This window comes from Homo sapiens, chromosome 10 (assembly GCF_000001405.40).
Source record: "Homo sapiens chromosome 10, GRCh38.p14 Primary Assembly".
NCBI lineage: Eukaryota > Metazoa > Chordata > Mammalia > Primates > Hominidae > Homo > Homo sapiens.
Window position 1 is genome coordinate 30527917 of NC_000010.11, and position 26786 is coordinate 30554702.

Consider the following 26786-nt stretch of genomic DNA (forward strand, 5'->3'; position numbering starts at 1 on the left):
AGAGACAGGGTTTCAAGGGTGAGCCACCACACCCAGCCAGTGAGGTAGAATTTTTCTCACTTCACCGTTTCCTGGGTCTGGGCGCTGTGTGTGTGTGTGTGTGTGTGTTTGGGATGAGGAGTGTTCATTGATTTGACTTCTGTTCAAATGGAGCTCAAAGCTTATCTCCCGTGTCCATAAACAAGGCTGTTCAAACAGGTTAGGCCACCTGGGGTCGGAAGGTATTTTAAAGTATTTTAGGCATGTTCAAGACATTATACGGGGCCCCTGACAGCCATCAGATATGCAGAAACTTATGTACAAACACATCAAGTGAGACTTCACTGGATAAAAAGATTTCCAAAGCCATCTGGAGTTGGAAGGTATTTTAAAGTCGGCCACAGCATCATTGCAGGCTGGCCCCCTGAGCTTGTATTTCTGCTTTGTTCCACGCGAGCTTCCTACAACCTTATCCATTCATTTCAAAATATTGAACTTTGTATTTTTTCTAAAATTTTAAGGCTTTATAACAGAGTTTCAGGACGTCTAGTCTGCCATATTCCTAGAAGCAGAACTCTCACTTTATTTTATAATACACTGGAGTCTTGCAACGTGTCTTTCGCAGTGGAGGCCCTCACATGTGTGCTGGATGAATGTGTGACGGCTGCTTTTCACATGTTAATTCCATCTCTCCTGTCAGATACTCTTGCATTTCTTTCATGTCTGCCCTAGCGTCTAGCTTAGTGCTGTGCGCTTGTTAGGGGTTCATTATAGCACTTGTTGAATGAATACACAGGTCCTTGTCTTGTCTCTCTAGGGAGGGAGTTTTTATAATTGTTCTTGGAAGCCTGTTTTATATATTAGTCATCTTTACATTAAAAAGTGCCTGTGGGGCCAAGTGTGGTGGCTCACACCTGTAATCTCAGCCCTTTGTGGGGCTGAGGTAGGAAGGACACTTGAATCCAGGCGTTTGAGACCAGCCTGTATAACAAAGCAAAACCAAAATAAAATAATGATAATTATTACATATTATTTATCATTCTATAATAATAATTATTATTAGCCAGACTTGGTGGTGCGCACCTGTAGTCCCAGCTACTCAGGAGGCTGAGGCAGGAGGATCACTTGAGCCCAGGAATTCAAGGCTAATCATGCCACTGCACTTCAGCCTGGGCAATAGAGTGAGACCCTGTCTTTAAAAAAAAGTAAAGTTTTAAACCATTAAAAAATAATAATAAATAAAAAACACTCATGCAGTCTAATCAATGCCTCTTCCCCAGATGTTAACCTGTTTCCCTCCCTTTTGCCCTTTGTGAATATGGAGAACAGTTGCTTGACAATTTTCTCATTTAACAACAATTACGTTTTTAGATACCTAAATGATGTTAAGGCAGCTCTTTAAAACATTGCTTTGCTGAAGCAACCTCATTCTTCCAGTGGTAGAGAACATAATTCCGTATATTTGTGGGGGTGGTTGGGTGTGGAATGACCAAAGCTTTATTTCGGAAGTTCTCTGTCACTGAAAGTGCCCTGATAGAAATAAAGCACTTAATGAGGTCTTGGACAGGTGCTGCCCGCCCAGCATTCTTGCTGAAACTCTCCCTGTGCGTCACTGGCTCCTGGGCGCGATGTTTCAGGTAACTCGGGCAAAGCACGCATGCTGCTGTGGCTCTGTGGTCAGCCCATGACGAGAGCCTCGTCCACGTTCCGTGAAATCTGTGAGTGCTGCCCGAGTCGAGCTACCGTTGCTCACCACCGCCACTTCCTGTCTTCCTACCCAGCGCCGCGGCTCTCGGAGGCTGCCAGTGGCTGGGTGCGCCTGGCCTGAGTCCTCCACCCGAAGAAAATAAGGAACCTGGCCAGAGAGAGGCAAAAGGAAGAGTCTGCTCCTCATGTTCCTTCTTGCTGTGGTTTTACCCTCGCCACTTATTTCGTGGTCATTCATTGGTGAGTATTTGAGCAACGTTCATAACATGACTGGGGGCCCTTGACAGTGATCGGATGTGCGGAAACGTAGGTAAAAGCTCACTCAACAGTGAGCGAGACTTCACTGGATTAAAAAAATAGTCCATTTCCTTTTTTTTTTTAACTTTTACTTTCAGTTCAGGGGTACATGTGCAGGTTTGTTACATAGGTAAACTTGTGTCATGGGGTTTGCTGTACAGATGATTTCATCACCCAGGTATTAAGCCTAGTACCCATTAGTTATTTCTCCTGATCCTCTCCCTCCTTCCACCTTCCATCCTCTGATAGGAACCAGTGTATGTTGTTCCCCTCTATGTGCCCATATGTTCCCATCATTTAGCTCCCACTTATAAGCGAGAACATGCAGTATTTAATTTTCTCTTCCTGTGCTAGTTTGCTAAGGATGATGGCCTCCAGCTCCATCCATGTCTCTGCAAAAGACATGATCTCATTCTTTTTTATGGCTGCATGGTTGTCCGTGGTGTGTATGTACCACATTTTCTTTATCCAGTCTACCATTGATGGGCATTTAGTAGATTCCATGTCTTTGCTATTGTGAACAGTGCTGCAATCATATGAAAAAAGCTTAATATTACTGATCATTAGAGAAATGCAAATCAAAACCACAATGAGATACCATCTCACACCAGTCAGAGTGGCTATTATTAAAAAGTCAAAAAATAACAGATGCTGGCGAGGTTGCAGAGAAAAAGGAATGTTTTTACACTGTTGGCAGGAGAGCAAATTAATTCACTAGTTGTTGAAGACAGTGTGGCAATTCCTCAAAGGCCTAAAAACAGAAATATCATTTGACTCAGCAATCCCATTACTGGATATATACCTAACGGAATGTAAATTTTTCTATTATAAAGACACATGCACACATATTGGCCGGGCGTGATGGCTTACACCTCTAATCCCAGCACTTTGGGAGGCTGAGGCAGGCAGATCATTTGAGGTCAGGAGTTCGAGACCAGCCTGGCCAACATGGCTAAACCTCATCTCTACTAAAAATACAAAAATTAGTCAGGCATGGTGGTGCATGCCTGTTGTCTCAGCTACTCAGGAGGCTGAGGTGGGAGGATTGCTTGAACCCAGGAAACAGAGGTTGCAGTGAGCCGAGATCATGCCACTGCACTCCAGCCTGGGTGACAGAGTAAGACTCTGTCTCAAAAAAAAAAAAAAAAAAAAAGACACATGCATCTATGGTCCATTTACTTTTGCCTGTTCAATGAGATAACCAATTGTGCCACTAGCAAGAATGAAGCTAGTTCTTCTCAAATGCTCAGCTTTGTGCTTCGAAAATGAGAAGAGACACAGGCCCTGCCTCCCTGAGAACACCTCTTGACAAATGGATTTCTGAAAAGGAATTCATTCAGTTATTCAACACAGATGTTTACGTGCCAGATACTATTGTAGGCATTTGAGATACAGCAGTGACCAAAACAGACATCAATCCCTGCCCTGGTGAACATTCGTCCAAGTTGTGCACAAATACATTTTTATTAATGAAAGGAGGTTTTTCAACTCCCAGGGGGTGACTGTTACTTAAGGAAAGCTGACTGTGGATTCTTCTCTTCTTCTTTTTATTTATTTATTTATTTATTTGAGACAGAGTCTCACTCTGTTGCCCAGGCTAGAGTACAGTGGCACGATCTCAGCTCACTGCAGCCTCTGCCTCCTGGGTTCAAGTGATTCTCCTGCCTTAGCCTCCCAAGTGGCTGGGATTACAGGCATACGCCATCATACCAGGCTAATTTTTGTATTTTTAGTAGAAACAGGGTTTCACTATGTTGGCCAGCCTGGTCTCGAACTCCTGGCCTCAAGTGATCCACCCACCTCGGCCTCCCAAAGTGCTCGGATTACAGGCATGAGCCACTGCACCTGGCCGGATTCTTATCTTCTCTTAAGAAAAGACCCTTTCTGTGCCCATGCCAGGGGTCCCCTGGTGATGGGAGGCAGTAGAGGTTGCTGATCAGTGGCCATGGAGGACCAGGTGACCAAAAGCTGGGAGGCAAGAAGGCAGTAGGGTGCAGGACTGAGGCTCCAATCCTGGTGCACGTTCCATTGTCCCGCTGGACTTCGCTTACAAAACACAAATTCAAGGTTGGGCATGGTGGCTTGCGCCTATAGTCCCATCCACTTGGGAGGCTGAGGCTGGAGGATCACTTGTGCCCAGGAGGTGCAGGCTGCAGTGAGCCATGGGTGCAACACTGTTCTCCAGCCTGAGTAACAGACCATGACCTTGGCTTCAAAACAAACCAACAAACAAAACATAAAGTCAAAGATCAAATTAGTAAGATTTTAAATGAATAATTAATTAAACCCCAAGTGCTAGGGGAATGTGAAAACTTCCAAATGCTGGGACTTTCTGAACATGTGGGGCCCTGAGTGACTATCCCGGTTACTCAAGCTGGCCCTGCCCAGAGCTGTTAACTGGTATGTTCTACAGGGATGGTATCTCTCTTCCTACCTTGCAGCTATGCTGTGAAGAGTAAGAGGAAGTATTCTGAAAAGTGCAAGGTCTTATACTGAGGTAAGACACTCTATTGTTTTGTTTTGAGACAGAGTCTAGCTCTGTCACCCAGGCTGTTGTGCAGTGGCTGGATCTTGGCTCACTGCAACCTCCGCCTCCCGGGGTTCTAGCGATTCTCCTGCCTCAGCCTCCTGAGTAGCTGGGACTACAGGCATGCGCCACCAAACTTAGCTAATTTTTGTATTTTTAGTAGAGATGGGGTTTCACTATGTTGGCCAGGCTGGTCTTGAACTCCTGACCTCAGGTAATCTGCCTGCCTCAGCCTCCCAAAGTGCTGGGATTACAGGCATGAGTCACTGTGCCCGGCCCACTCTATTGCTTAAGTCTGATTTTTTTACATCTGGATCAAGTTGGTTTACCAGAAATCACATGCATGTGTTTGGTGTTCTGTGCCCCATAGTGTAGAGTCAATTTCCCAATTCTATGGGAACAGATTATCTTAGAGGCCATAACATGTTCTTTTATAAAGGAGCCACATAGCGGACTGCAGAAGAGCTCCAGGATCAGCTTGGCCCACTAGTCTCCATGATCCTCTTAGTATTACAGGAAAACTCCCTGAAGAGTTTTAGAACATTTTCTTGGAAGTTTGTTGGTCTTGGTGGGTGGGGGCGAGGTGGCAGTGGTTTAACGTAGTGTTACTTAAATCTGGATTGAATCCAGAGCTACTGCTTCCTAGCTGGGAGGCCTTGTGCAAGTTGTGTGAATAAGCCTTTCTTCATTTACAATAAAATAAGTGTGATGTTAATGATACCTTCTTTAAAGTTTTCTTGTACAAAGCAACAGAGGATTCTTTACATTGTCAGGTATGCAGTAGGTGCTCAGTAAGCATTAGCTGTTACTATTTTTAGCTTGGAGAGGCGCAAGCAAAGACTTTCAGAGTAAAAGATAGTTTGTGCTGGTCGCTTATTTGGTGAGTATTATTCCCACCGCCCAAAGTCAAGGAGAGGCCAAGTCTAGCTGGCTGCTAGAGACTCAAGTCTTTGGATTTATCCCATGCACTTGAAATTGTCCATTCCAAGGTCTATGTGGAGGGAGAGGAGAAAAAAAAACAAAAAACAAACAAAGAAAAAAAACCCAGAAACAATAACCCAAGCATCATAACTCAATTGAAATCTTCACTTTTTCTATTGTCACAGAAAGGCACAGAAGCAACACTGCAAATATCACAAATCTCCAGCACCGTATGCTGTTACTCTGAGCTGGATTTTTTGTTCTTTTGTTTGCATAGATTATTCTGCTTTTAATCTTCAAAATCTGCGCATGAAAGGGGACTGCACAGAATTTTTTTTTTCTTTTTGAGATGGAATCTCATTCTGTCTGTCACTCAGGCTGGTGTGTGCAGTGGCAAGATATAGGCTCACGGCAACCTCTGCCTCCCTGGTTCCAGCGATTCTCCTGCCTCAGCCTCCTAAGTAGCTGGGATTACAGGCATGGGTCACCACACCTGGCTAATTTTTTTTTTTTTTTTTTTTTTTTTTTTTTTTTTTTTTTTTTTTGAGACGGAGTCTTGCTCTGTCGCCCAGGCTGGAGTGCAGTGGCGTGATCTCGGCTCACTGCAAGCTCCGCCTCCCAGGTTCACGCCATTCTCCTGACGCCTGGCTAATTTTTGTATTTATAGTAGAGGCGGGATTACACCATATTGGCCAGGCTGGTCTCGAACTCCTGACCTCAGTGATCCACCTGCCTCAGCCTCCCAAAGCCCTGGAATTACAGGCGTGAGCCACCTCACCTGACCTGCATAGAAATTTGATAATCATGGTTTAGGAGGAGCTGCTTCTTGGTTAGATCATAGGCCAGGATCATATTTTTGCATGCTGGACTCTCACAGAATTCTCCTGCACCTGCTTCGGGATTAAATGTTGCTGATTCTAGAACTACTTTTGAGAAAATAGTCACAACAGTTCACCAACCACCAAAGAAAATACTGCACCAAGTGGCCGGGCGCCATGGCTCACGCCTGTAATTCCAGAACTTTGGGAAGCCGAGGCAGGTGGATCTTCTGAGATCAGGAGTTTGAGACCAGCCTGGCCAACATGGTGAAACCCTATCTCTAATAAAAATACAAAAATTAACCAAGTGTGGTGGTGCGCACCTGTAATCCCAGCTACTCAGGAGGCTGAGACAGGAGAATCGCTTGAACCCAGGAGGCGGAAGTTGCAATGAACCGAGATCGCGCCACTACACATTCCAACCCGGGTGACAGAGCGAGACTTCATCTCAAAAAAGAAAAAAAAAGAAAAAAATCCAATGGTGTTTCATTAATTAGAAATGAGTGACAGAAACCAGAGCCGAGTCTCCGTCTTGACAAATGTGTGCTGCCATCTAGTGACAAACTGTAAAAATGCAGGCACGCTGTTGCACCATTCATGTCTCCATGGCCAACACAACCCTGGGAAGGAAAAGGTCTAAGGTGCCCCCTCAGCCACAGCCACGCAGAACGTGTGCTGAAGTTCATAGAATCGGAAGCCCCTGGAGAAGTCGTGTGGAACGCTCCTCTGTATCATGGCCTGACCACGTTAGCCCACCCCTGCGGATGAGCATCTGTGACAGCATTACCTGGACGTGTTCGTCTGTTTTGTGTTCATACTGTACCCCTAAAAGGTGGACTCTTGACTGATGGGCTTCTGTTCTGAGTTGGGTTAAAGATGTGATTATTAACCTTGAATATCCCAGTTCTCCACCAAAAACTTGTTTTGGGAAGAGAGAATACATATGGGAAGATATCAGAGTGGGAAACCAAAATCAACTTTTATCCACCCCATCCTTTTTTTTTATTTCTTTATTTTTTTGAGACAGGGTCTCACTCTATCTCACAGGCTCGAGTGCAGTGGCGCCATCATGGCTCACTGCAGCCTTGACCTTCTGGGCTCAAGCAATACTCCTGCCTTGGCTTCCCAAAGTGCTGGCATTACAGGCGTGAGCCAGTGTTCCCAGCCTATTTCCTTATTTTTAATGCACGATATAAAGAAAACGAATTAACCCCCAAAGCCCAACTCTGCTCCACATGGTGGGGAAATTTGCCTACTCCTTGGATTTTGAGTTTAAGATGTCCTTATGTGGTTTTTACTCATTTCATTATTCATTAACTTAGTCAACAGATGCATTCCCCAAACACTGGGTATAGGACGGAGAACGGGATCCACATAGTTCTTGCTCACATGGAGTTTTTAAAACAGATCTGTTTTCTGGATGGGCACAGTGGCTCTCACTTTGGGAGGCTGAGGCGGGCGGATCACCTGAGGTCAGGAGTTCGGGACCAGCCTGGCCAACATGGTGAAACCCCGTCTCTACTAAAAATACAAAAATTAGCTGGGGCGTGGTGGTGGACTCCTGTAATCCCAGCTACTCAGGAGGCTGAGGCAGGAGAATTGCTTGAACCCGGGGGGCAGAGGCTGCAGTGAGCGGAGATGGCACCATTGCATTCCAGCCTGGGTAACAAGAGAGAAACTCTGTCTCAAAATAAATAAATAAATAAATAAATATATAAATAAATAAATAAATCTGTTTTTCAAAGGGTGGGTTGTGAAATCAAGGCATTAAAAATATGAAATAATACAGAAGCATGGGCTTACACAGGGAGATGGGGAAATAGCAAAAGCATAATGGTTAATCCCAGGAAGGTGAAGCCAGTAAAAAGTAACAATGAAATACACTTACTTTTGGCAAGATGAATGGATTTAGGAGAAAACTCCACCGTTCGGAGTCACACGCGAAGGCTGGAGCTCAGATGGGTGAGTAGAGGCAAAGCTCATTGGTAGGGGTGATGGGATTGTTTGCAGAGAGACCTAGGGGTCGAAGCAGAGTGAATTCTTTATTCTTGGTCCTGTTGGCTGAGCCACTGATTTGAGACAGTTATGGGAAATGTGGATGTTGCAGACATGCCCTGAATTTAGTTATTTGTATTATTTAATAAGCTTTTGGAAAGTTAATCCTCCAAAACTTTTGGATTTCCTATTTTCTCTATGAAATATGCTTATATTTGTTCTGTTTATTTGTAGCTGTTTCTTTTTTCTTTTTTTAGGACCTTGTGGTGCAACGGTATATAGCAGTTTCTTTAAGCACAGTCTCATGCCTTTCTTCTTTTGCTGTCCTTTGGCATATTTAATTTTCCTTTTCCCCAATAAACCCTATTCCTTATCCACAACTATGTGGTGCTGTGGAATTCATTCTGGAAGGTGGTAATGTATTTTGCACGACAACAGCTAATGAGGCAAACAATTCTTCGAGTATATAAATCAGGAGAATGAGAAACTGTGGCCTGCGTCATTGATGACTTCTGAGGAAGAAAAAGTAAATAATGAGCTTGGAAGGCTCATCTCTGCCAAGTCAGGGACAGTATGTGGTGCATCTTTGGGGCATGAATGCCTAACCTGGGGCAAGCTGCAAAGCAGGTGTTCAGATCCAGTTGTTAAGTGAAGATTATTAAAAGACCATGTGACCTAACAAACAAAAGGATGTGGGTAGTTAGAGTGGAACAGCCTGTTTCAGCCGTTCCTGGCTGGGTAACCTTTGGCAAGTAATTAATCTTTCTAAACTTCAATTGTCTTATCTATGGAATGAAGCTAATGGTCTTACAGCATTGTTGGAGGGATCAGAAATAATACTGGAAGCACCTGGAGTATGTTAGATACTCCATCAAATGGTATCAGTTACTGTGTGACATTTACAGATTTGCAATATCTTTTTATTGCTATTGGTTGGGAGTAACTATAAAGATTCATTCATATGATCAGCTAAGCTTTCACTAAAGTGCAGATTTTATTATTATTATTATTTTAGAGACAGGGTCTTGCTCTGTCACTCAGGCTGCAGTGCAGTGATGCCATCATAGCTCACTGCAGCCTTGAACTCCTGGGCTCAAGTGATCCTCCTGCCTCAGTCTTCTGAGTAGCTGGGACTAAGGCATAAGCCACCATGCTCGACTATTTTGTTAATATTTTGTTTTTAGAAATGAGGTCTTGCTATGTTGTCCAGGCTGATCTTGAACTCCTGGCCTTGAACAATCCTCCCACCTCAGCCTCTCAAAGTGCTGGGATTACAGGTGTGAGCCACTGTGCCTAGCCTGAAATTGTTTCTAATGTCATTTGTTTGGCATCTGTGGGTCTCACAATTATATAATTATGTCATTGTCTAGTATGTGATTATTCATGGAAGACTGTATTTGAGTTTAGTGCTGTTTCCAAAGAGACTTCCTCTCATCACCAGGCAAGGGGTTAAGCTCTTCTACTGCTGTATTTTGAAAAGCACATGAAAAAATTTGATTGATAAGTACCTACTGTATAAATATGAGTCTCATGGACTGAGATATTGAAAGTTTGCTGTAATGACCATCAGTTTATTTCTCCACAAAATAAGAACACAGGAAACTTCAGAGTTTAGCCCTTCCGTTCTGGCAGCTGCCACTTATCAGAAAGTTCCTCTAAATATTTGTATTGCTGGGAATCCTCTGTTTCTAAAAATGGCATCTGTATTTCCTGACTAGTTTTATATTTCAGGTTTTGTGGGTGGGGGGCGATTCTGCTTGACCCCCAGACTTGCCCTTCTAATAATACAAATTAGTAATGTTATTTGTATTATGATTTAGTGTTTTCTAATTGGAAGATAATCTAACATCGTACTGAACAAGGCAGGTTATCCACTCAATTTTACAGACAAGGAAAACACATCAGAGAGGTTTTGAAATTGCCTGGCATCATCAACTAGAAAACGGTCAGCCTGGGATTCAAACACAGGGAGTGTGACTCCAGAATCCACACTCCCAACAGCAAGCTCTGTAGCCCATTCTAAGTAGGCATTGAGTTCCGATTTGGGGCACAGGTTACCATCAGTAAACATGAACTTATTTGTGGAGAACAAATAAGTCATGATAGATCCCTGCCTGTTAACATGGTGACACCTTAATGAACACCCACTACGTGCCAGACTCTTTACAACAATCACACAGAGATAGGTATTCTCATCCTCATTTTTTTAAGATGAGTCATTGAGACTCAAAGAGTTCAAGCAATTTTCCTAAGGCCACACAGCTGGGTAACGGTAACTTTGGTTTGCAAACCCAGCTGTTACTGACTCCCAGCTCTATCTGCTGTGAACGCAATTGATTTATAGGAGACAAAAAATGTGGATGAGTCTAGACTTTCCTCTCCAACCTCCAAGGACCATCAGCATACCAGTTTCTTCCCTCCAAGAGGTACTTTGAAATTCACAGAATTTCTGTCTCAAATACATATTTTGGTCTAGTATTTACACCTTCCATGCCCTGATATTGGTAGGGTTCTCTTCTTTTTCAAGACTGTTAAAGCAGAGTATCCAGGCCAACCTACTCAGCCTACTTCAGATGGCAGGCTTGCTCCAATGCATCTGTTGTGTTAGGACATTCTGCTTTTGGACATTCTTGGTATCTCTTGCTGGGCACTGGAGATGGCATGCAGCCGAAGACCCTACTGAGCTTCCAATTGAGCCTCTAGGTCAAGATGGAGAAGAAGGACAGTTTTAGTTTGGTGAATGCTTGACCAAGTAGCTTGCAAAAAGTGGACAATAAAGCAAACACAAAATGAAAATTTTAAACTATCTTCATCACAAAAATCAAACAGAATAGAATGCAATAGATCAAAGTGGTCTTCCCTCCTTTCCCCCTGGAAAAAACCAAAGTTGTTTTTCCCAGAAGAAATTGCTATTGACAGTCCTTTAGGATACTCCCTGAAATTTTATTTATATATTTACTTTCATTTATTTATTTATTTAGAGACAGAGTCTCACTCTGTTGCCTAGGCTAGAGCGCAGTGGCATGATCTCGGCTCGCTGCAGCTTCCGCCTCCTGGGTTCAACTGATTCTTGTGCCTCAGCTTCCCAAATAGCTGGGATTACAGGCATGTACCACCACGTCCAGCTTATTTTGTATTTTTAGTAGAGACAGGTTTTCACCATGTTGGCCAGGCTGGTCTCAAACTCCTGACCTGAAGTGATCCTCCCACCTCGACCTCCCAAAGTGCTGGAATTACAGGCATGAGCCACAGTGCCTGGCCCTGCTTCCGGAAATTTAAATGGACTTTAAAGGTGAATATTGGGTTCAACATCCTATTTCTTTGGTTTAGGAGAAAATGTCTGTACACAATAGTAAGAAAATACCACCATGCAAGGACAGAGAACCATTTATACGTATCCCTCCAATGGACTCCGTAGAATGAATCTTTCATTCTAGGGAGGTGTTTGCTTTGTAGTGCCCACCCTTTGCCCCCACCTTCATTTCTTACTTTGATATCTCTGATATTGAATTTTTTTCTGTATTTTTTTGTGTGGGTACAACAAGACTGTCCCAATACCTGTCTTGGATGATATTTAGGTGGAAGAGAAAAACAAACAAGAGAACTCTGCAAAAGGGTAATCATTCATGAATAGATGGAGGAGAAGGAGTTATGTATGGTCTGGATTTGTAAGACCGGAAAATGTTGACCAGGAATCAAGACCAAATATTTCTTAAATTATCAAGTGTCAAAGAAATTAGAATGGTGCAAATTTGGGTCCAAAATCAGGTACTGTGCATAAATGAAAGCAGTGGTTTCTGGTAGACAGTTCTCCATCGTCTCTTGCATTTCTATTGTCTGCCCAGGTGCTAATTGCCTTTATTTTGATCTATGTATTCACAGATGCTTATATAGCAGACAGCCTTGGAAAATTGAGATAGTGTTCCCTTCTGGAGCAAAGGACAGGTTTGTTTATTGTCCAGTATGATAAAAACAATGTTTTCTTCTGGGGCAAAGGCCAGGCAGGTTTACTGCCCACTATAAGAGATTTGAGTTTCCCAAATTCAATGTTCCTCTACTGCAAGGCAATCCTGTATGTGTGCATCATTTGGCCCTGTTCACATCATCGTTTGGGAAATGGAGTTCAGGGAAGTGGCTCAAATGTTGACACTGGCTACTGCTACTGCTGTGAGCAATGAAGTCCTTTGTTTCTGACCCAGGAGTCTCATGTCTTCTGTCAGTATCCATGAAATTGGGTCACGCTGAATGATTAGCTTGCAAATAGGGTATAGTCTCAGACCTGTCATAGTTCTTGACTATGGTATATAGAATAACAAGAAATATCAGTGACTCAATGATTTCACAATTAAAATGATACATTCTTCAGATGACTAAGAAGCCCAAGTCACAGAGAGGTACCCATGAGATAAGGGAAATAAATGTTCAAGTAATAGCTTACAACCTTAAACAATTAGTGTCATCTACAAAACTGAGAAACAAAAGTACAATTTCTAGGCCACGCCCAGAAGGCCAGGCCTCTGGGTTGCCATTCTCTCAGGACACCTCAGCTGAGCCCAGTGGGATGGGAGGTTTCAGATTTCTGGATGCTATTAGAGGGATGTCTTCAGGGTGGATATAAAGAGTTTGAAATAGAAGGCAGGTAAACATCTCTATGGTGCATGAAATTCAAAGCAAACTCAGGCAAATTGCTGTGAGTTAAACTGATATTTAATTCATAAACACATGTCACATATACAATTATGCTTTTTGTTTTGTTTTGTTTTGTTTTGAGACAGAGTCTCACTCTGTTGCCCAGGCTGGAGTGCAATGGCGTGATCTCAGCTCACTGCAATCTCCACCTCCCGGATTCAAGCAATTCTACTGTCTCAGCCTCCCGAGTAGCTGGGACTACAGGTGCACACCATCATGCCTGAATAATTTTTGTATTTTTATTAGAGACGGGGTTTCACCATGCTGACCAGGCTGGTCTCAAATTCCTGACTTCGTGATCCACCCGTCTTGGCCTCCCAAAGTGCTGGGATTACAGGTGTCAGCCACCATGCCCAGCCCATAAATAATTTTAAAATGAGTATATTCTTTGCCTTGTTCACTCACATTCTCATCTCTTTGTGGTAGCTTTTTGCAGAGGTTCCATGACTTATGATTCCACAAGAGATTGAATGAAAAAGCAGATATAAGAATTCAGCTATCTGAATTGATTTTATGGTATGAATACCGCAAGTTTCATTTCTGAGATTCCTAGTAGAAGTTTCAGAAAGAGAGCCTCAATGCTATTTCCTTTTGTTAATCAGGAAATCGTGGAATTTCTAGCAAAGAGGCCCTTTGGCATGCCTGCAGACGCTTAGGGAATAATTAGGTTTTATATTGGGGAGAATTTTATTTAAGCCTCTAGGAATGTGGGATTTTGATAACATTGCAAAATAATACATTTTATTAATTAGGGCTTAAGGATTAAGAACTTATTTAGCATGATGGAGGGTATACGATACAGGCAAAAAACCATTGGCTTTGAAGCCAAATCCACCAGGGTTTGAATACTCGTTAGGCAACTTTAGGTGGATTATTTAGCCTCTGTGAGCCTCAGTTTCTTCATCTGCAACATGGGAGTGATGATGAATCCCAGGCTTGTTGGGAGGATTCTACTCCTACATCCAAAGGCTGGCATCACCCAGTGCCCAATACACGGGAAGGCACAGGCTGAATTCCCATTTGTGTCTCCGGTGGGATTGAATGGAGCCTCAGCAGTCCCCAAGATGTGCATCAGCCTCTGAGAAAACTCCCAGCAACAGAAATGCTCTGCTTCCCCAGGCAGCCCCTTCCACTTCAGGAAAGGTCTAATTGCTAGAAAACGTGGAGAGCTAAAATGTCACTTTGTCATTTCACACTGGCCCCTGCTCCCCCCTCGGAGTGCGCTCTAATTCCTGTTCACATGATAGCTCTTCCGTCATTTGAGCAGCTCTTCAATCCCATCGAACTGGAAAAAAGGAGCTTTTTTCCAGACTAAACATTGTCACAGCCTTCAACCATCACATGCATGACATTTTGAGCCCTGTTTTCCTTCAGACACAAAGAGGATCGATCAGGTTTTGGACATCAGAGAACCAGGTCAGGCTCAAATCACAAAACATATGTACTTTTCCTTTCCACTGCCCCTTTTGGTGTGTTTGTGGGAATTTGTTTACTATGCCTAACTGGACAGGTCATCCTTGTATGGTACCAGGGTCATTTGAATGCTCTTGTTTGCTTGTTGCTTAATCTACTCATGATATCAATCATTGCGTAGATCAATTGCCAGCTAGGCAAACAGCTACACGGCTCTGTCAATTCTTGGCAGGTCTACATTTCACCATTTCTTCAACATCACGTGGGGTACCATGACATTGACTTCCAGGTCTAGCTTGACGAGTGAAATAGAACGTTGTTGGCTTAAGAAGAGCCGGAGCTCATCTGAAAACCTGATGAGTCACTGTCCCCTCTCTGGCAACCTAACACGAATGTTCACTTAGTGCAGATTTTGGGGAGCCTTGGCCTTTGCCCTAGATTGCAGTAAAAATGCTAACATTTTCCCAATTGCTATCTTTACATAACTGTCAGAGTTTTTACTGTCTCAGAGGTCAAAGCACGGAGAGTTATTAGTCAGCCCTAGTAAATTTCCATTTCTGACCCAAAAAGCTACAGGAACTTCCCCTTTGAAAGTTCTCCCCTTCCATATTTTGAAATCACAAAATAGAGAAAACACATAGTTTCAGGTGTAACATCTTTTTTCTCCAACTCCCAGAAAAAATCCCAGGAGTTTTACTAGTGATTCTGCTGCCTGTTCACTCTTTCAACTGGAAGTCAGAATGAAACTCTCTGTAGCCCCTGCTGGAGATTGCATTTCCTGTCTACCTATGTGAGTCCTTCATGGTGGGCTTGGGAAAGTACATTCCATAACTGAGGTCCTGTTTGGGGGTTTTGAAGAAGGCCAATTGGCTTCTTACAAAGCTCCACAAGCCTGCGCTCTTTTCTGAGTTCATAGCCTACTCTGCATGGGCAAGAAGCAGGATGCGATGTCTCCTAGAACGAGCTGCAGAATTGAATGACCTCAGCAGAACAAGCCCACTGTGGCCAGCCTGGGTGTTTGGAAATTCATGGCTCTCTTTTCTATTCCTTCTGTGTGAAGGAATCCTAACTGCCTCTTTTTTTTTTTTTTTGAGACAGAGTCTCACTCTGTCACCCAGGATGGAGTGCAGTGGTCCTATCTTGGCTCACAGCAACCTCCGCCTCCCGGGTTCAAGTGATTCTTGTGCCTCAGCCTCCCCAGCAGCTGGGATTACAGGCGCATGCCACCACGCCCAGCTAATTTTTGTATTTTTAGTAGAGACAGGGTTTCTCCACATGGGCCAGGCTGTTCTGGAACTCCTGACCTCAGGTGACCTGCTCACCTCGGCCTCCCAAAGTGCTGGGATTACAGGCATGAGCCACCGCACCTGCCCCTAACTGCCTCTTTCTGATTGTGGCAGTGAGGCCACTTTCCTGGAGTTTTCTTGCACTATCCAGAGCTGTCCTGGGAGAAGCACTAAGCCTTGGGGTCACCAGACTTCTGGGACAGGCAGAAGCACTTGTTCCTCTTAAAGAGACCACGGACCTACTCAAGAGCTTCAAGACCTTTAAGAGTTGAGACCTAGGGAGGAACAGCCAGAGGGTCACCAGCAGGGTGTCATGGCTTAAGCGTCCCTGCTTAGATGGCCCTGGACCCAGGAGGGGACCAAGATCCACTGTGAGCAAGGAGGCATCTTGTTGTGTGTATCAGTCTGGGGACCCAACCTAGTGATGCATGGGAGTTTCTGCCACACTGAGCATCCAGTTTGAAGGCTGGAATGCCCAGTCTGGAGCCAGAAACTAACTCTCCAAAAGTATTGAAGCATTTCTAGAGCTTTCATGGTTTAGAAATATATGCACTTGTTTCTCTCTCTCTCTCTCTCTCTCTCTCTCTCTCTCCCTGTCTCTCTCTGTTTTTGTTTTGTTTTGTTTTGTTTTTTTTGAGATGGAGACTTGCTTTTTCGCCAGGCTGGAGTGCAGTGGCATGATCTTGGCTCAGTGCAACCTACCCCCTCCTGGGTTCAAGCGATTCTCCTGCCTTAGTCTCCCGAGTAGCTGGGACTACAGGCACGCACCACCATGCCTGACTAATTTTTGTATTTTTAGTAGAGACGGGGTTTCACCATGTTGACCAGGCTGGTCTCAAACTCCTGACCTCAAGTGTGGAGGCCTTCCAAAGTGCTGGGATTACAGGAATGAGCCACCATGCCTGGCCATACTTGTTTCTCTTACTACAGAAGTAATGCACATTTATACTCAACATTTTGGAAAAGTGCTGTAAATGAAAAGAAGACATATGAACATATGACACCCCAGTTCAGATATAACCACCACTGCTAATTTAATAGCCCTTTCTAATAATTTACATATGCATGTAAAAATATATATTTACAAATAATATAAAAGATGTTTGTATTTTAATATGTTATATATTTATTATCTATATTTTGATAAGTGGTACACTATTTCACTTATCAAAAAATACTTGCTAAGTAGATAATGGCAAGAAAGCATAGCCCTTGCCTCAAGAACCTAATGGATTAAGCTGGGTGTGCTGGCGCATGCCTACAGATGTAAGCTACTCAAGAGGCTGAGGCAGGGGGATCTCTTGAGTCCAGAAGCTTGAAACTGCAATGAGCTATGTTTGTAATACTGCACTCCAGCCTCAGAGACAGAGCGAAACCATGACTTTAAAAAAAACCCAAAAAACAAAAAACAAACAAAAAAAAGGCCGGGCATGGTGGCTCACACCTGTAATCCAAGCACTTTGGGAGGCCGAGGCAGGTGGATCATAAGGTCAGGAGATCGAGACCATCCTGGCTAACACGGTGAAACCCTGTCTCTACTAAAAATACAAAAAGTTAGCCGGGTGTGGTGGCGGGCTCCTGTAGTCCCAGCTACTTGGGAGGCTGAGGCAGGAGAATGGCATGAACCTGGGAGGCGGAGCTTGCAGTGAACCGAGATCACGCCACTGCACTCCAGCCTGGGCGACAGAGTGAGACTCTGTCTCAGAAAAAAAAAAAAAGAAGAAGAAGAAAAAGAAAGAAAGAAAAAAGCAAAAGAAAAGAAAAAGAAGCTATTGGATTGATGGGGGAATCAGGTAGCAAATAAGTAGACAAATAGGATGGGCAAGGTGGCTCATGCCTGTAATCCCAGCACTTTGGGAGGCTGCGGTGGTGGGAGGATCACTTGAGGCCAGGCGTTCAAGACCAGCCTAGCCAACATGGTGAAACCTTGTTTCTACTAAAAATACAAAAAAAAAAAAAAATAGCTAGTGTGGTGGCTAACTCCTGTTATCCCAGCTACTCAGGAGGCTGAGTCAGGAGAATCACTTGAACCTGGGAGGCAGAGGCTACGGTGAGCCAAGATTGCACCACTGCACTCCAGCCTGGGCAACAGAGTGAGACTGTCTCAAAAATAATAATAATAATAGTAAGTAGACAAATAGATAATTACAAGACGCTGAGCTCTATGAAGTGATCCCGTGCTATCCCAGAAAATAATAGAGGGGGAACTGCCTATGTGGCTGATGAGGAATGAGGGCTCCTTGGAGAAATGACCAAATCTGGCTCTAGGAAAGGAAATGAACAAGATGAGTCTGGGCATCTTGTCCTAAATGAAGGAAGGAAGCCATCAAAACCACTCACGTCAGTCCAAAAGACTCAGGAGCCAAAAGGAAGAGGTTTCCTCTGGCCACGTGGGGGAAAATTGGAGCATCCTTAAGAACGATGATGGTGGCCGGGCGTGGTGGCTCATGCCTGTAATCCCAGCACTTTGGGAGGCCAAGGCAGGCAGATCACCTGAGGTCAGGAGATCAAGACCATCCTGGCTAACACAGTGAAACCCCGTCTCTACTAAAAATACACAAAAATTAGCCAGGCATGGTGGTGCATGCCTGTAATCCCAGCTACTCAGGAGGCTGAGGCAGGAGAATCGCTTCAACTCTGGAGGCAGATGTTGCAGTAAGCTGAGATCAAGCCACTGAACCCCAGCCTGGGTGACAGAGTGAGATTCCATCTCAAAAAGGAAAAAAAAAGATCATGGGGATGGATGCAATAAGCAAAGTCCGAACTGACGGATAAAATGAGACTTTCCTTAGGATTGCTGGGAGGATTAAATGAGTTAATGTATGCAAAGCACTTAAAATAGTGCCTGACATTCAGTGAATGTGAGCTATTATGATTACCATTATTATCAGTATTATTGGAACCAAGCACAACACTGTGAGGAGAGTCCCCTTCCCCCTGACCTATTATGTGAGCAATGGGGGAAGCCTAGGAATCAGCAGTATTCAAGGACCTTAGGGCTGCTAAAGGTGGTGCCTGGGACCATTGCTTCTGCCAATGGTCAAGAGCGATGCTGGGCTATGGGGCCAGCTACTGCCAGCAATGCTCCCACATGGCTGCAAGAGAATCACACAGCCAAACGGTGCTCTGCGGGGTGGTCAGATTTCCCCAGGTTTTGTTTCTAAGGAAGAGAAAATGAGGAAGGAAAAGATAATTTCGTGATTACCCATGGACACTAGCAGCCACTAAATTTGATACTAAAAAAGATGTGGCCTTGAGGCCGGGCGCGGTGGCTCACACCTGTAATCCCAGCACTTAGGGAGGCCGAGACAGGCGGATCACCTGAGGTCAGGAGTTCAAGACCAGCCTGGCCAACATGGTGAAACCCCCATCTCTACTAAAAATACAAAAATTAGCCGAGCATGGTGGCTTGTACCTGTAATCCCAGCTTCTCCAGAGGCTGAGGCAGGAGAATCGCTTGAACTTGGGAGGCAGAGGTTGCAGTGAGCCAAGATCGTGCCACTGCACTCCAGCCTGGGCAACAGGAGTGAAACTCCTTCTCAAAAAAAAAAAAAAAAAAAAAAGATGTGGCCTTAATTTGTAATCCACATATTAGACTGCATATTTATTCTATTCCATTCTGTATATTTTTATACATTTTTAGATATATATTTTATTTTTGAGAACAGTCTTAAATTTATAGAAAAGTCAAAATATGTCCTGCACCTATTTCCCTTTTATAAATATCGCCCATTAGTATGGCACATTTGTTACAATTAATGAACCAATGTTGGTATGTTACCATCAGCTAAAGTCCATACTTTATTCAGACTTCCTTAGATTTTACCCGATATCCTTTTTCTGTTCTGGTATCCCATTTGGGACACACATTACATTTACTTGTTATGTCTTTTTTTTTTTTTTTTTGAGATAGTGTCTCACTGTCGCCCAGGCTGGAGTCCAGTGGCACAATCATGGCTCACTGCAGCCTTGAACTCCCAGGTTCAAGTGGTCTTCCCACCTCCGCCTTCCAAGTAGTTGGGACTACAGGCATGCACCACCACGCCCAGCTAACTTATTTTTTTTTTCCATAGAGAAAAAACTCCATGGCTCAAGCAATCCATCCACCTCAGCCTCCTGAAGTGCTGGTATGACAGGCATGAGCCACTGTGTCTGGCCTACCATAAATTTTAAACTTTAGTTGTGTTAATATTTTTCTGATTGATATGTTAATTTCTGAAAAGCCTGTTGCCCAGGCTGGTCTTGAACTCCTGGCCTCAATTCTCCGACCTTGGACCCCCCAAAGGGCTGGGATTACAGGCATGAGCCACCACACCTGGCCTCTTATGTCTCATTAGGCTTTACTTGGCTGTGACAGTCTCAGACTTTTCTGGTTTTTGATGGCCTTGACAATTGTGAGGAGTACTGGTCAAGTATTTTAAAGAATGTTTCTCTGTTGGGGTTTGTCTGATGTTTTTCTTTCATGGTTAGACTGGAGTTATGGATTTTGAGGAGGCAGATCATACAAGTAAAGTACCATTCTCCTCACATCATATTAAGAGCACACATTATCAATGTAATTCATCACTGTTGAGGCTGACGTGGACGACCTGGCCAAAGCAGTACTTGTCGTTTTCGCCACTATAAATTTAGACTTCCCCCCTTCCCCTTCCCATCTTCTACACTGTCTCTTATTTATTTATTTATTTAACAACAACCTCTCATCCAACAGACATCCTTTCCACTTTGAAAGGAAGCCACTACGTGCAGCCCACACTTTTTTTTTTTTTTTTTTTTTGACAGAGTCTCTCTCTGTCACCGAGGCTGGAGTGCGGTGGTGTGATCTTGGCTCACTGTAAACTCTGCCTCCCAGGTTCAAGTGATTCTCATGCCTCAGCCTCCTGAGTAGCTGGGACTACAGGTACACACCACAATGCCTGGCTAATTTTTATTTTTTATTTATTTATTTATTTTTTGAGACAGAGTTTTGCTGTTGTTGCCCACGCTGGAGTGCAATGGCACAATCTCAGCTCACTGCAACCTCCGCCTCCTGGGTTCAAGTGATTCTCCTGCCTCAGCCTCCCAAGTAGCTGGGATTACAGGCATGCACCACCACACCTGGCTAATTTTTGTATTTTTAGTAGAGACAAGGTTTCACCACATTGGTCAGTCTGGTCTTGAACTCTGACCTCAGGTGATCTGAGCACCTTGGCCTCCCAAAGTGCTGGGACTACAGGTGTGAGCCACTGCTCCCGGCAAAAATTTTTTTTTTTTGTAGAGACGAGGTCTCACTATAGTTTCCATGCTGGTCTTGAACTCCTGCACTTGAGGCCATTTTGGACCAATCATCCCAGGCAATCCATCAGATTAGAGTGAGCTCATGAATGACCCCAGCTGAGACCAGCCAAAACTCTGCTTAGCTGAGCCCCGCCCAAGTTGTCTGCCCATAGTATCACGAACAGTACCCTACTAGGTTTTGAGGTATTTTTTTTACACAGCCACAGATAACCAATATAACTAAAGGAACTGCTTACTGTTGAGAAGAACACAGATTATGCCAATGTAGAATAAAATCAGCAAGAGAATCAGACCAGAGCATCCATCCACTCAGAGTTCCTAAAGACTCAATAGAGCAGTGCTGGTGTTCTGTTCTAACATATCATCAACTTATTTTTCCTGAAAACCGAATGAAAAGAATTTCCTCAGTCATTCCAGTTTTGTCTCTGATCTCTCTTCTCCTTCTATTTTGTCTCTTCTGTTTCCAGTTTCTCTTACAGCAACTTGTACTTTTTAGATATGTTAACGCTGCACAAATTCCTTTCTACTTGGGGTAATACCAGTATGTTGAAATTTCCTATGCTCTATAGATGCTCTTGTAGTTCTTCCATATGTAGACCTATTATTTCCTCTTTTTCATTTCTTTTTTATTTTTATTTATTTATTTATTTATTTATTTATTTATTTATTTATTTATTTATTTATTTTTGAGACAGAGTCTCACTCTGTTGCCCAGGCTGGAGTGCAATGGCATGATCTTGGCTCACTGCAGCCTCCGCCTCCCAGGTTCACGCGATTCTCCTGCTTCAGCCTCCTGAGTAGCTGGGATTACAGGCATGCACCACCATACTCGGCTAGTTTGGTATTTTTAGAAGAGACAGGGTTTCATTGTGTTGGACAGGCTGGTCTTGAACTCCTGACCTCAGGTGATCCGCCCACCTCCGCCATCCAAAGTGCTTACAGGCGTGAGCCACCACGCCCGGCCCCTCTTTTTGCTTTCTTGAAGATATCCCTTAATTAGGAAAGAAAAATATTTAGATTTCTTAATATTTTCCTTAATTTTCTCCCAAGAGTTAAATATACAATTTTTATATTATAATAATTGTCTGAAATTATAGATATCATTTACACAAATCTCTGTATCAAATTCTGTCTTCAGTATTATAGGGGTGGTAATGTGATAAAAAAAAGCAGAATTGCATGGTAGGAAAATTAACTGCAGACTTCTTGCATATCAGTTATCCCGGAAAGTTCATTACCAAAATGCATCCTCCGTTTAAGACTCATTTTTTTTTTTTCGGCTAGGCACAGTGGCTCACGTCTGTAATCCCAGCACTTTGTGAGGCCGAGGCGGGTGGATCACCTGAGGTCAGAGTTTGAGACCAGCCTGGCCAACATGGTGAAACCCCATCTCTACTAAAAAAAAAAAAAAAAAAAAAATGAGCCAGGCATTGTGGTGTGTACCTGTAGTGCCGGTTACTCGGGAGGCTGAAGCAGAAGAATTGCTTGAACCTGGAAGGCAGAGGTTGCAGTGAGCTGCGATCACACCACTGCACTCTAGCCTGGGCAACAGAGTGAAACTTTGTCTCAAAAAAAAAAAAAAAAAAAAAAAAAAAGAAAGGAAAAAAGACTCATTTTATTCTACCTAAAAAATCTTGCCTCATTTAAACAAACTTTAACATCATGTGGCTCTTTTACATTCACGCATTCCATCACTAAATATTCATTGAGAATTTTCTATATATTTGGCTCTATGCTAGGCCATGAGAATCCAAATAGATTCTGCCTTCAAGAAAGAAAGATGATGATAGCAAAATGATATTAATTCAGGCCGGGTGTGGTGGCTCACGCTTGTAATCCCAGCACTTTGGGAGGCAGAGGCAGGTGGATCTCTTGAGGTCAGGAGTTTGAGACCAGCCTGGCCAACATGGCAAAACCCCGTCTCTACTGAAAATACAAAAATTAGCTCAGCTTGGTGGTGGGCACCTGTAATCCCAGCTACTTGGGAGGCTAAGTCATGAGAATTGCTTGAACCGGGGAGGCGGAGGTTGCAGTGAGCCGAGATTGTGCCACTGTACTCCAGCCTGGGTGACAGAGTGAGACTCCATCTCGAAATAATAATAATAATGTTAATTCAATATGCTAAGTATAATAGTAGGCATGTGCACATGGCCTTATGGGAGTCAGAGGCCTATGAGTGTGTTTGGGGTGTGTGCAAATAAGAAGGGCTTCCTGGAGGAGGAGATGTTTGAGTTAAGTGGTAAATTACAAGTAGGAGTTAGTTGTGAACAGCATGTGGGATGTGCATGGGGTGATAGGAGCAGGAGCACGTGAGCCAAAACGCAGTGCCCAGAAGCAGATGTATGCAGGAAGTGTGCAGTGTGGGGCGGGATGTGGTGGGAAGACCACGGACAGGGTGCACCTGGCCAGTGGCTGGAAGCCCCAGAGAACGATGTTGAGGAGCAATATTTTTTTTGTTTGTTTGAGACAGAGTCTCACTCTGTCACCCAGACTGGAGTGCAGTGGCACGATCATGGCTCACTGCAGCCTCGACCTCCCAGGGTCCAGCAACCCTTCCACCTCAGCTTCCTGAGTAGCTGAGACTACAGGTGCGCACCACCACACCCAGTAAATTTTGTAATTTTGTAGAGATGAGGTCTTACTGTGCTGCCCAGGCTGGTCTTGAACTCCTGGGCTTAAGGGATCCTCCTGCCTTGGCCTCCCAAAGTGCTGGGACTACAGGCATGAGTCACTACTCCTGGCTAAGGAATGAAATTTCATCTCCTAATGCATAAAGAGCCGTTGGAAGGTTTTAAGTGAAGCAATAATGATGTAGGATGTGATGGTGGATTTGAGGGGCAAGAACACTGACTGGGAGGCTGTTACCTTTGTATATCTGCTCAATTGGTGGTCACAATCTTTTTGGCATAGGGGACTGGTTTTGTGGAAGACGATTTTTCCACAGACTGGGGTGGGGGTGGTTTCAGGATGATTCAAATGCATTACATTTATTGTGCTCTTTATTTCTATTATTATTACATTGTATTAATAATGTACAATGTATTACATTGTATAATAATGTACAATGTATTACATTGTATAATAATGTACAATGTATAACATTAAGAATGTATAACATTATACATGTATATATGTATAACAATGTACAATGTATAACATTATACATGTATATATGTATAACAATGTACAATGTATAACATTAAGAATGTACAATGTATAACATTCTGTTATTATTACAATGAAATACTTATACAATTCACTGCAATGTTCAATCAGTGGGAGCCCTGAGCTTGTTTTCCTGCAACTGATTTAGGAGTTAAGAAGAAATTACTTAGGCAGATAGTAAGAGTATGGGAGTCCTCGGTAAAACTTTTATTTTTAGTGAAAAGCAGCCCCAAATCATTTTCCTTTCTAATGAAGAGCAGCCTGTAAAATCGAGCTGCAGACCTGATACTGGCAGTTGCGCCGATTATATTCAAGATGGCGGCTCCATCTTCCCTTCTTTTGTCAGCCACGTGTCCAGTAAGAAGCAGACAAAATGGCACTGATCAACTGGAATGGCCATTTGTGTGATAAGATTAGGGTGGGGCAACCAGCCTTCCCCAAACACTATGTAGACATCATAACTGATCAAACTAATCTATGAGCCCTATGTAAATCAGAGACTGCCTCCTCAAACATGACTATAAAACTCCACGCATTTGCACCAGCTGGTTCTTTTTCCCACTTGGAGACTCTCTTTTGGGCTTTCTTAGCATGAGGAAGCTTTTTCTCTCTCTTTTCTTCCTTTTTTTTTTTTTTTGAAATGGAGTCTCGCTCTGTCACCCAGGCTGGAGTGCAGTGGCCTTATCTCGGCTCACTGCAAGCTCCGCCTCCTGGGTTCAAGCAATGCTCCTGCTTCAACCTCCCAAGTAGCAGGAATTACAGACACTTGCCACCATGCCTGGCTAATGTTTGTATTTTTAGTAGAGATGGGGTTTCACCATGTTGGCCAGGCTGGTCTTGAACTCCTGACCTCAAGTGATTCGCCCACCTCGGCCTCCCAAAGTGCTCGGATTACAGGCATGAGCCACCGTGCCCGGCCTCTTTTCTTCTTTTTTCTATTAAACTTTCTGCTCCAAAACCCACTCCTCATGTGTGTCTGTGTCCTGAATTCCTTCTCAACCGAGACCAAGAGTCAAGGTATATACCCCAGAAAATGGAGCCATTTCACAACTAGAAGGTCCCATCTGGGGGTGATGGGAGACAGTGACAGATCATCAGGAATTACATTCTCATAAGGAGCATGCAACTTAGCTCCCTCAGATGTTCAGTTCACAATAGGTTTTGCACTCCCATGAGAATCTAATGCTGCCGCTGATCCGACAGGAGGTGGAGCTCAGGCAGTAATGCAAGTGATGCGGAGCGGCTGTTAATTCAGATAAAGCTTTGCTTGCTTGCTGCTGCTCACCTCCTGCTGTGTGGCCCAGTTCCTGATAGGCCAGTACTGGTCTATGGCCTGGGGGTTGGGGACCCCTGTCCTAGAGAATAAGGAAGTGAATTAGCGCAGTGTTAGCAGAAATTGAAAAAGAGGTAAGTTAGAAATGTTTAGTCTGCTAAACTGGCTGACTTACCATTAATTGGTGGGGGAAGTGTGAAAGGAAAAGAAAATCTCAAGACCCCAAACTCACAATGCCAAAGGGAAAAGTTAAGCTTGGGAACTGAGACAAGAGAAAAACAAAGCAAAACTGTGTTCCTTTCGTTCCCAAGGGATAGCTGTAATTTCATGTGCTGACTTTATCTTACGTAAAATGTAGATTTACTCAGCAAGATAATTATATGACTTTCCCCTCCCTCCTATCTTTTCACATGTAAAGTGTGGATTCAGTGAGTGCTATTCAAGGCCTCATGAGAATGTGACCACCTGGCTCATTGCCTATCCTACCCCCTTCTTTTTCTTCTCTCCTTCTCCTCCTGCCCACTCTTCCCCCTTTACATATTGAAGTCCTCAAAACTCTCCTTGGAAAAAAGCAGAGAACACAAATCCTATTGTAACTCGTGTTTCTTTTTTCCTGAGTGTTTCCTCAACCTCAGCAAAATAAACCTCTAAGTTGACTGAGATCTGTCTCAGACACTTTTTGGTTTACAGAAGTAAGGAAGAAGGAATTGCATGACTTCCAGGATCCAGCTTGGTGAGGGCGTGGACGGCAGAGCCCTGAGATGGGATCACGTGAAGACGAGCAGGGAACGTCAACAAGGGAGGAGACCTTGGCAATGCCTGCACAGCCCGCTCAGCCGCGTAGCAGAGCCCTCACAGTCGCTGGCTTCATGCGGTGTAGAGAAAGCTGGTTAAATTCATCTAACTGCAATTTGCCTTCCATGTCTAGTCTCCTTTTGGCCATGAGGAAGATAATCCAGCCGGCTAGGTATAGCTGAAATGTGACATAATCAATTACAAATTTGTTGATTTAGAGCAAGTGATAGATACACAGCCCAGAGTAAATTTCCCAGAGGCTCTTACCACTGTGGGGAGGACAAAGTCTCACTTCCTGATCAGCAGTGGCCAAGGGAGGCTTTTCTCTGCATTTGTGAGGCTGTGATATCTTTCATGCACTCCTTTGAAAGTGCTCACCAGCACGATGGAACACATTAGCTTAAATATTTCTCTTCACAGGTTGCTGTGTCTTTTAACGTAGGCAACTCTTCATGTAAATGCTAGTTAGAAAAGAGGTTTTGTTTTGTTTTTCAAGAAAAGTTGCTTTAATTAAATAAAGGACAGGAAGTTCCTTCCTGAATGGTTACAACCCCGTGGATTATACAAGCAATGTGCTGATTACAAACCGCCCCTTTGCCAGTTCCGCTACAGTTACCAGAATCCTTGTTAAATAACATTCTCCC

The 26786-nt window shown here is 43.7% G+C and overlaps 1 long non-coding RNA gene across 2 annotated transcripts, besides 5 other annotated features; it reads left to right on the forward strand.

Annotated features, from left to right (window-relative positions):
* Nucleotides 1654-1803: an enhancer, noted in NCBI's record as "active region_3218". NCBI's record gives its function as "activates an Ori minimal core promoter by ATAC-STARR-seq in GM12878 lymphoblastoid cells {active_cell/tissue: GM12878}" and the evidence as "EXISTENCE:reporter gene assay evidence [ECO:0000049][PMID:35858748]".
* LOC105376478 (uncharacterized) lies at nt 1747-26692 on the forward strand. 2 transcript variants are annotated; one of them, XR_930792.3, is made up of 3 exons: nt 1747-1926; nt 4397-4480; nt 5617-5818. It is a non-coding gene; the product is annotated as an uncharacterized LOC105376478 (long non-coding RNA). The 2 variants fall into 2 exon arrangements; XR_007062102.1 differs by lacking the exons at nt 4397-4480; nt 5617-5818 and adding an exon at nt 26038-26692.
* Nucleotides 2024-2413: an enhancer, noted in NCBI's record as "active region_3219". NCBI's record gives its function as "activates an Ori minimal core promoter by ATAC-STARR-seq in GM12878 lymphoblastoid cells {active_cell/tissue: GM12878}" and the evidence as "EXISTENCE:reporter gene assay evidence [ECO:0000049][PMID:35858748]".
* Nucleotides 10397-10897: an enhancer, noted in NCBI's record as "H3K27ac hESC enhancer chr10:30827242-30827742 (GRCh37/hg19 assembly coordinates)". NCBI's record gives its function as "activates a minimal SCP1, AML or CMV promoter by ChIP-STARR-seq in naive H9 embryonic stem cells {active_cell/tissue: H9 hESC(naive)}" and the evidence as "EXISTENCE:reporter gene assay evidence [ECO:0000049][PMID:30033119]".
* Nucleotides 24855-25467: an enhancer, noted in NCBI's record as "NANOG-H3K27ac-H3K4me1 hESC enhancer chr10:30841700-30842312 (GRCh37/hg19 assembly coordinates)". NCBI's record gives its function as "activates a minimal SCP1, AML or CMV promoter by ChIP-STARR-seq in primed H9 embryonic stem cells {active_cell/tissue: H9 hESC(primed)}" and the evidence as "EXISTENCE:reporter gene assay evidence [ECO:0000049][PMID:30033119]".
* Nucleotides 25944-26238: a silencer, noted in NCBI's record as "tiled region #6088; K562 Repressive DNase unmatched - State 1:Tss". NCBI's record gives its function as "represses a minimal TATA promoter and a strong SV40 promoter by Sharpr-MPRA in K562 cells {active_cell/tissue: K562}" and the evidence as "EXISTENCE:reporter gene assay evidence [ECO:0000049][PMID:27701403]".
* Nucleotides 26693-26786: the final 94 nt, after the last annotated feature.